At 46.1% G+C, this 10,269-nt stretch overlaps 2 annotated features.

Moving 5' to 3' along the window:
* Window positions 5,825-6,295: a transcriptional cis regulatory region, noted in NCBI's record as "candidate enhancer chr1.12446 targeted for multiplex CRISPR interference". NCBI's record gives its function as "positively regulates FAM89A gene expression in K562 cells {active_cell/tissue: K562}" and the evidence as "EXISTENCE:mutant phenotype evidence [ECO:0000015][PMID:30612741]".
* Window positions 7,993-8,287: a silencer, noted in NCBI's record as "tiled region #4964; HepG2 Repressive non-DNase unmatched - State 22:ReprW". NCBI's record gives its function as "represses a minimal TATA promoter and a strong SV40 promoter by Sharpr-MPRA in HepG2 cells {active_cell/tissue: HepG2}" and the evidence as "EXISTENCE:reporter gene assay evidence [ECO:0000049][PMID:27701403]".

Genomic DNA, 10,269 nt, shown 5'->3' with positions numbered 1-10,269 from the left:
CCTGAGTAGCTGGGATTACAGGCACCCGACACCAGGCCTGGCTAATTTTTGTATTTTTAGTAGAGATGGGGTTTCACCATGTTGGTCAGGCTGGTCTCGAACTCCTGACCTCAGGTGATTCACCCACCTTTGCCTCCCAAAGTGGTGGGATTACAGGCTTGAGCCACTGCGCTCGGCCTACAGTGACACTTTCTGCAGTAAGCAGCGACTTAACATATTTTCCTTCTCCACTGTCTGTTTCATCTCCCCTCACCATCTTCTCTGTGCTGCCAACCTGTTCCCATTTTCCTGTCCTGCATTAGCAAGGATTCACAAGTGTTGACACATGGCATGGGGTGGAATTAGGATGCCGTCTGTGTAGACAGAGTAGGAATGGCAGAAGTCACCAGTTCTTTGCATCCAGCACCAGTGGTTCCCTGAGGTAAGGCCGAGAAGAGCTGAGAGAGAACTGAGTTGCCTGTCTGATGGATCCCATGCTCCTAACCCACTGGGAAAGCAGCACATTTGGCAGCTGTCTTGGCACATCTGGAGGGGGATGGAGGAGTGAACAGGTGGCTGATTTGTGACTGCTTTTTTCTACTCATGGTAATTTCCAGGATGTTTGTAATGGGCATTTGTTGGTTTTGACACCCAGCTTCTCGCCCCTGCGAGGCATGTGCACATTTGCTGTTTCCTGGCAGCCCCTCTGGTATGTGCTGTCTCAGTAAGAATCTAGAGGCAGGTGCCCTTCTCCCGCCACGGAGGCTGACAGCCCAGCAGGCTGCCTGGTGGGCCCTCCTCTCCCCTCCACAGCATAGACTCCTGAGAGGGGTGATGTGCTGATGGAGACAGTCTGAGTTCTTCACGTCCAGCAGCAGAGAGAGACGAGCAAGCCCTCCTGCCAAGACCTTCGAGGATGCTTGATTCCACACCTGCTTCCTCAGCCTCTCCTGTGATCTCATCAGATCTGCTGTTGTATTTTAAGAGATATATTTGGTCTTTGTTCACAGTTCCTGGCACAGAACGCCAAAAACTCTTGGAATTTCCTGAGTGATAAGAATGCCTTTTGTTATTCATAAGGAGCTCCCCTTTTTAATTGATAATAATTGTACATATTTATGGGGTACAGGAGATATTTTCATACATGTATAGAATGTGTAATGATCAAAGCGGGGTAATTAGCATATCCATCCCCTCAAATGTTTATCATTTATTTGTGTTGGGAACATTCCCAATGTTCTCTTCCAGCTACCTGAAGTATTTAATAAATTATTGTTAGCTATAGTCATGCTACAGTATGCTATTGAACACTAGAAGTATTCCTTCTATCAAACTGTGATTTTGTATCCATTAACCACCAACGTCTCTTCATCCCCCTTCCACCTACCCTTCCCAGCCTCTGGTAACCATCATTCTACTCTCCACCTACATTGGATCAACTTTTTCAGGTCCCACATATGAGTGAGAACTTGCAATATTTGTCTTTCTGTGTCTAGCTCATTTCACTTAACATAATGACATCCAGTTTCTTCCATGTTGCTGCAGATGACAGAGTTTCATTCTTTTTTTTTTTTTTGAGAGAGAGTCTCGCTCTGTCACCCAGGCTGGAGTGCAGTGGCATGACCTTGGCTCACTGCAAGCTCTACCTTCTAGGTTCATGCCATTCTCCTGCCTCAGTCTCCCGAGTAGCTGGGACTACAGGTGCCCACCACCACACCTGGCTAATTTTTTGTATTTTGTTTAGTAGAGATGGGGTTTCACTGCGTTAGCCAGGATTGTCTTGATCTCCTGATCTCGTGATCTGCCCGCCTCGGCCTCCCAAAGTGCTGGGATTACAGGCATGAGCCACCGCACCTGGCTGACAGACTTTCATTCTTTTTTATTGCTAAATAATATTCCATTGTGTATATACACCGCATTTTCATTACCCATTCATCCACCGATGGACACTGCGGTTGCTTTCATATCCTGGCTGTTGTGAGTAGCTCTGCAATAAACATGGTTTGCAGATATCTTTTAGACACACTGAGTTCCTTTCTTTTGGGTATGTACCCAAGGGGGCTGCTAGATCACATGGTGAATCTATTTTTCGTTTTTCTGAGGAACCTCTCCTCACTGTTTTCCTCAGTGGCTGTGCTGGTTTACAACAAAGAGTACCTTTGATCATGCCGGAGTTTATGCGAATGCGGTGACTAGGGTGGGGCCCCTAGATACCCTCAGAGTGGGCTGGTTTACCAAAAAATCAAGTGATTAGAGGGTCAGCACTTTTGGCCCCACTCACTGGCCCCAGGAAGCGGAGGAGCTGGAGATTAAGCACCATTTTAAACTCTTGAATAAGATTTGATGAGCTGCTGTGCTGATTAACATATCAAGGTGTCGGGAGGGAGCAAGGTGCAGCTGGAGAGGCCATGGAAGCTCTGCGTGCACCCTCCACACCTTGCCTGATGCATCTCTTCCATCTGGCTGTTCCTGAGTTGTATGCTTTTTTTTTTTTTTTTTGAGACAAGGTCTTGCTTTGTCACCGAGGCTAGAGTGCAATGGGCCTGATCTCAGCTCGCTGCAACCTCCGCCTCCCAGGTTCAAGCGATTCTCCTGCCTCAGCCTCCTGAATAGCTGGGATTACAGGCACGTGCCACCATGCCTGGCTAATTTTTTTTTGTATTTTTAGTGGAGACGAGGTTTCACCTTGTTGGCCAGGCTGGTCACGAACTCCTGACCTCAGGTGATCCACCCACCTCGGTCTCCCAAAGTGCAGGGATTAAAGGTGTGAGCCACTGTGCCCGGCTGTATGCTTTTTTTAAACAAACAAACAAACAAACAAACAAACAAACAAAAAACAAAAAAACAGTAGTACTAAGAGTTTCTGAGTTACACGAGGTATTCTAACAAATCATTGAACTCAAGGAGAGTGTCATGGAAACCCCTGATTTATAGCTGGTAGGTCAGAAGCTCAGGAGGCCTGGGATTTGCAGCTGGCTTTGTCTGAGGTGGGGAGGTGTCTTGCGGCACTGAGCCCCTAAGCCGTGAGGTCTGTGCTAACTCTGGGTAGTTTGTGTGAAAATGAAATTGAATTGTAGAACACCCAACTAGTGTCCAGAAAAATCAGAAAATTGGTTGTTGGTTTTGGAAAACACCCCAGCCCTACACACTTCCAATAAATCCTCTTTGCTTATTTGCCTGAGTTGGTTTCTATAGCTTTCAGCCAAAGAACCTTAACTAATAAGCTTTTATTGAAATAAAATCCTACCCAGAAACCCAATAAATGCAGAAAGTAGAAGAAATTGTGTCTGCTCTGTTGAAGCAGACGGAGGGCGTCAGTGCAGAGCTCTGCTATGCCACATCCTCACTTCCTCTGCCTGGGTGCCCTGGAGGGGCTCCTGAGAGCATCGGGGGCTTCTGTGAACACAGTGTAAAAAGGACTGCAGGCCAGGCGCAGTGGCTCACAGTTGTAATCACAGCACTTTGGGAGGCCAAGGTGGGCGGATCATGAGGTCAGGAGATTGAGACCATCCTGGCTAACACGGTGAAACCCCGTCTCTACTAAAAATACAAAAAAAAAAAAAAAAAAAAAAAATAGCCGAGCATGGTGGCACACGCCTGTAATCCCAGCTACTTGGGAGGCTGAGGCAGGAGAATCGCATGAACCCAGGCAGTGGAGGTTGCAGTGAGCTGAGATTGCGCCACTGCACTCCAGCCTAGGTGACAGAGTGAGACTCCATCTCAAAACAAACAAACAAGCAACAACAACAACACAAAAAATGACTGCAGTAGGAAACGACACCTCCATCATGGGGATTTGGGGCTCCCAACTAATCAGTGTGCTACCTCCTGTCTAGACCCTAATCCACAGAGAGCACACAGAAGGATACAAATGAGGGCTATAACATCAGGGTTTGCAAAGCAGAGGTCTTTCTGGGGCCTTCAAATTTTGTCCTGCCCCTACCAGCCCACCCCAGTGATGAAAGACCGCAACAGTCAGCTTGCAAGCCCTGAACCTCCTCTGGTTTAGTTCAACAGTAAGTCAGATGAAAGTGTCAACTAAAAATAAAATTCTAAGCCTTGGCCCCGAGCAGTGGCTCACACCTGTAATCCTAGCACTTTGGGAGGTGGAGATGTGCGGATCACCTGAGCTCAGGAGTTTGAGACCAGCCTGGACAACATGGAAAAACCCTGTCTCTACAAAAATTACAAAAATTAGCTGGGCATGGTAGCATGCACCTATAGTTCCAGCTACTCAGGGGGCTGAGGCAGGAGAATCTCTTGAACCCAGAAGATAGAGTTTGCAGTGAGCTGCGATCATGCCACTGCACCCCAGTCTGAGTGACAGAACAAGACCCTGTCTCAAAAAAAAAAAAAAAAAAAATTCTAAGCCCCCCACCTAACTGAATGGACCTTTGCTTGGCCATGGGAAGCCCAGAGTAACCTTGAAAACTGAGTTCTCAGCTGTGATGGGATAGCAGATCAGACACACATTGCTATACCCTCTCCCTCAATAACTGCAATGAAGCTTTTTTCCCTGAGGGCTGAACAGAAACCAGCCCTTTCAAAAGACTCTACCACTGAGATCAACCAGCTGCTGGACACTGCTTCTCCTCTTTTGCCTGATAAGAGATCACCTACCATGGATTGGCTCTGGCCAGTTTTCGGAGAATGCACAGTACAGGTTTTCATGCCCTCTGCTTCACCTTTTGATGTCAGAGGACTGAAAGCTGCCCCTTCGGATCATGCTAATGTTGCCTTTTTATGCATGGGACCCATAAAGGGGCATGGAGCTCAACTGTGTAGTGTACACTGCTCTTTTTATGAATATTCACGTCTCCTCCTTTAGCTTATTAAATATGTATGTTAGGCCACCCTGCCCAGCTTAGATTCCTGTTCCCTTTGCCCTTCCCTTGAAGTGTTTGTTTCTGGCTTCTGACTGGAGGCTACGCTTCCCAGCCTGTCAGAATGGCCACCTTGCAGTCTGCAACCCTTTATGAGAAACGAAGCTCTCCTTTCCAAACATAGGAACCTAGTTATTCTTCGGTTGACATGAGACACATGCAAAGACTATGTTCTCTCTCTTGGTGTAACCTCTGTGATTAGGATGCTGCTGCCATCAAGAGTCCCAGCTTCTGTGCCAGATGGAGGAATCATATTTGACCTTAGGCCCCTCCAAATTTACCTGAGCAAGTACCTACTAGACATTCTGGTATTCTCCCTTGAAAGCCCTCCTGCTGCTGCTCTCTAGCCCTAGGGGTGTATGTTTTGAGTGGACAAACAGTTGCTTGTGTCAGCTGTATGTGTCAGGTGGACTTGCAAAGCTCTGGTATCTATAGTGATAGGGAAGGTGTAGGGGTCTCCCTGGGCCTTGTTCCCCGAGAGTGGCTGTGGCCTTTGATCCACAGTCAGGCTCTCCAGTCTTCACCAGCATTCTCAGTACTCACAGCACCTACTTAGGTTCAGATGCATTGATGTGTGTGGAGGGTGGGGTTGTCATCAGCAAACTGAGTTCTTTCCCAATTTCCCATCAGTTGCAAAGAAAGGACATCTAATTGGAAAAGGCAATTGGGTTTTATTTATCGGCCAGAGAAAGGAGAAGGGAAGCTCTCATTCCAAAGGCATCCTTTCCCTGAGCAACAGGAGGCAGGGTTTTTAAGGACTGGGTGTGGAGTGGGAGAGGTATGTTAACATGTGCAGGGTGAGACTCCAGACACATGGGCATGCTTCCTAAACATGCTTCTTCATACATTGCATGTACACCAAATAGTGGTGATCTTCTCTTAGGGGAGGGGGTTTTAGCATTATAACGCTATGTTAATCAACTAAAGACAAGAGGGGTTGCCTGTTGTAATTTGCACCGGTTTCTCCTGGATCTTATCTTCCTCTGGTGTTTGGTTAAGGGTCAAGAAGTGCTGGCAGCATCCTAGGCCATCTGGTTTCTTTAAGCAATTGTGTCTATAGATAAAGGCACTAAAGAAAAACAGTAGGGAAACGGAACTTTCCCAGTTATTTCATCAGAGCTACCCTGGTAACAGGATGGTGGGTGTGAAGAGTTACGTTTACCCCTATACGATAGTGTGGCTTTCACTTTGGGATGAGATGTCTGCAGTCTCACTGTCAGCCAGTGGTTGGAGGAGAGTTCAAACCAAGATGGGTATGATTGTAAGGAGTTGCTTTTCAAGCTGGTCCCTCCACGTCCACGCCCATCCCAGCACCTCCCGGAAAAAACAGTTCCTCTAGAAGAACTGATAACAACCAACTGCCCCTCAGACCCCAGCTGTTTTCTTTGTTCTTAGGCACAACAGTTGACCCACACCCTTTCCTCTTGGGTCCGCTCACCATAGTTGTAGGATTTTCTTCTGTTTCACCTTTGCACGCCTATTCTTCAGGGAGCTAGGGGCGGGCAATCCCTGGGGCTTTTTCTTTTCTTTTTTTTTTTTTTTTAGACAGAGTCTTGCTCTGTCACCCAGGCTGGAGTGCAGTAGCGCAATCTCAGCTCACTGCAACCTCCGCCTCCCGGGTTTGAGTGATTCTTCTGCCTCGGCCTCCCAAGTAGCTGGGACTACAGGTGCCCACCACTATGCCTGGCTAATTTTTGTATTTTTAGTAGAGACGGGGTTTCACCATGTTGGCCAGGATGGTCTCAATCTCCTGACCTTGTGATCTGCCTGCCTCAGCTTCCCAAAGTGCTGGGATTACAGGCGTGAGCCACCGCGCCTGGCCCCTGGGGGCTTTTTCTCCACAACTCGCCTTTGCTGGGTGATAGGACAGATTATCAGAGGAAGAGAAATTCCCCAATAATCCTTGAGAGTGGTTCAGGGGTGACTGAAAAAGGCTGACATGACCTGGGCCCCAAATAGGAGAACAATTTGGCCTTAGAAATCAGTTAAGGGTGTTAGCACCGATTAGAACAGAACACTGCTCCATCACATTAGCTGGTAAGAGGTCACGTAGAGAGGATGGTCAGAGGGGTGCTCGATAAATATTCTTGGCAGCCACCTCTCCACCTCATGCTACTTTACTATCTGTGGATGAATGATTTTTGTGACTTTGGGTGGGCCAAGGATTCCTCCACGTCACAGCCCAACTCTACTTTAAGGTACTGCAGCACTGGATAGAATTTATGGGCAAGATTGAGGTTAACAGACAATGTAGCAAGATGCTGAGCAGGAGAGTGGATCTTATATCTCTGTGTAGGGATGTTAAAGATAGCCTCTGCTCCCAAAGAAAAGGAGGGAAGGAAGGGAGGAAGGGAAAGAAGGAAGGAGGGAAGGAGAAGGGAGGAAGAAAGGAAAGGAGGGAGGGAGGGAAGGAGGGACAGATGGAGAGGAAAAAGAAGAAAAAAAAAGAAGGTTGGGCACGGTGCTCACACCTGTAATTGCAGCACTTTGGGAGGCCAAGGCAGGTGGCTCACCTGAGGTCAGGAGTTCGAGATCACCATGGCCAACATGGAGAAACCCTGTCTCTACTATAAATACAAAAATCAGCTGGGTGTGGTGGCACGCACCTGTAGTCCCAGCTACTCAGGAGGCTGAGGCAGGAGAATCGCTTGAATCCGAGAGGCGGAGGTTGCAGTGAGCCGAGATTGCACTACTGCACTCCAGCCTGGGTGACAGAGTGAGACTCTGTCAAAAAGAAAGAAAGAAAGAAAGAAGAAAGCAATCCAAAGTTAGAAACCATATGCAGGAGAAAATATGTTAGAATCCAGGGAACCATAATTGTGTAAGTCTTTTTCAAAATCAACTCACTAGGTTTTTCTGTAGGAAACAAATCAAAAAGAGGAGAGCAAGCAAATTAAATTTCCTTCTGCTTTCTTCCGAAAGAAACTTAATCTCACCATGAGAGAAGATAAAGAGTTCACTTTCAGAAAACACTGATTAGAGAAGCTGCATTTTTTTCACACAAGGGCCTGTGGACCAGCTCAAAGTGAGTATCTTGGACATTTACCCCACATCCTGCCTCCCCTCTCCCCATCTCATCTGCCTTGGATGTCTGACTTTCCCCGTTACCAGCAATTACTTATAAATGGCTGCTAATACTGAGGTGCCAAGTTACCCAGTTTTAACCAAAGAAAATTTGGGCAGAAGGCAAGGCCTACTGCAAACACATTTGCTTTTATTTTTGGTCATTGTACAGATGGAGTTTCAGATTACTGTTTCCTCCCTTCCCTTGAAAGCAGCTTTGTCTTTTTCCTGGACTGAAGAATTGCATTGATTGTAATCACCAAGGATTTAAGGCAACCATTTGTAAGGCGGCATCCACTTTTATGGCCCACATCATGAAAACATTGCAGGCTAGAATTCTCTACCCATATCCAGCCATTTGTTGCTTTATAGTCATATAGAGACATGAAATATTGCTTATTTGATGTATTGGTTTGCTCGGGCTGCCATAACAAAGTAGCACTGACGGGGTAGCTTTAACAACAGAAATTTATTGTCTCACCGTTCTGGAGCCTGGCAAGTCCCAGATCAATGTGTCGGCAGACATGATTCCTTTTGAGGGTTCTCTCTTTGACTTGCTGATGGCTGTCTTCTCCCTGCATCCGTCATTTCTCTGTAACTGTCCAAATTTCCTTTTTTTTTTTTTTTTTGAGATAGAGTCTCACTCTATCACCCAGGCTGGAGTGCAGTGGCACGATCTCGGCTCACTGCAACCTCCTGCCTCAACCTGCCGAGTAGCAGGGATTATAGTTGCCTGCCACCACACCAGGCTAATTTTTGTATTTTTAGTAGAGACGGTGTTTCACAATGTTGGTCAGGCTGGTCTCAAACTCCTGACCTTGTGATTCACCCGCCTCGGCCTCCTGGAGTGCTGGGATTATAGGCGTGAGCCACCGTGCCCGGCCAGGTTCAAATTTCCTCCTCTTAAAGGACATCAGTCATATTGGATTAGACCCCACCCTAGTGATCTCATTTTATCTTAATTACCTCTTTAAAGACCCTAACTCCAAATAAGGTCACGTGCTAAAGCACAAGGGATTAGAATTTTAACATATGAGGTTTTGGGGGATATTGCTCAGTCTATAACATTTGGGAAAAATTTTTACTATTCTTTTGACTTTAGCCCTTTCAAAGAACATCCAAGAGTGCTGGGAAAAACCCTTGTTTGACCGCTTCTGCATATGCCTGTTGAGGATTCTTTGGTCTGTTCAGTGGGAAAATGCTATCTTAAGTATTATATATGGAATATTCTGCCTGTGGTAAACCATGGGATGCATTTTCTCATCTGATGCTTATCTAATGATGTCATAGGGCTTCAGAAATGAATGCATGGAAGTGAGGAGTAAAAAATAAAAGATCCCCTAAGCACTTAAGACTTCTGTGCATAGAAATGCATGAATAAGACCATTTAATGGGTTTCTGAGGCTCAGAAGTTGCCGCTTGTGCGTCTCAATCAAGTGTTTGTCTTTGAGCAGCACATTCTTCCATGTCAGGGATGTTTATTTTTTTGCTTTGTCCTTAATGAGACTGTTCTATTTAGGTTTAGAAGACCTTAGACACAAAGGCTGTGAGTTAGAGTCATATAAGGTAGCATTATGATTATTCATTATGGTATATGAATTTCATGTTTTACCTATTTTATGAAGTAAGAAATTCCTAACCTTATTGAAGAAGAGACATCTGATTCAGCCTTGCACATGCTAGTAGAGGATCAATTCCTTAGTCCATGGTCTAGGAAATCAGTAACCCAAAATAGTTCTGCCTCCACGGCTGAGCCAGTGTTCCCTGGCATATCATTATTAGCCTTCTCTTCTCACTCCACCTGGTTTCACCTCCCCGAGCCAAGCTCATGTCTCCCACATGTAATTCTCTAGCTGCTATCTCTCTTCTGAGCTTAGACCCTAGAGATTCCAGAATATAATACTTTTCTACTTAATTTTCTCACAGGTAACTTGAACTCAACATGACCCAAATGGAAACCATTGTCTCACTCCAAAATTTCCTCCTTCTCTGCCTACGTAGTCCCTATTTGATCACATCACCCCACCATGCATCTAGCTGCCCAGTCCAGAAATCTTGCAGTTATTTATTCTCCCTTTCCTCTCCTCCCTCCCATTCAATTTTCCAGTTCCTGTGATTCTACTTCCCTAGGACCTCTTGAATACATGCCAGCCTCTCTTTCCTCATTGCGGCTCTCCTAGACTCTGGCCTCAGCAGTTCTGCACTGGGGTACTGAAAAACTTAACGAGTGCAGGGCAGTATCAGAGTTAGTAGTCCATTTTCTGTTGCCTATAACAGAATTCCTGAAACTGGGTAATTTATAAAGAAAAGAAATATATTTCTTACAGTTTTGGAGGCTGAGCAG

This window comes from Homo sapiens, chromosome 1 (assembly GCF_000001405.40).
Source record: "Homo sapiens chromosome 1, GRCh38.p14 Primary Assembly".
NCBI lineage: Eukaryota > Metazoa > Chordata > Mammalia > Primates > Hominidae > Homo > Homo sapiens.
Note: the sequence above shows the minus strand (reverse complement) of the source record. Positions and strands in the feature narration are given on the sequence as shown.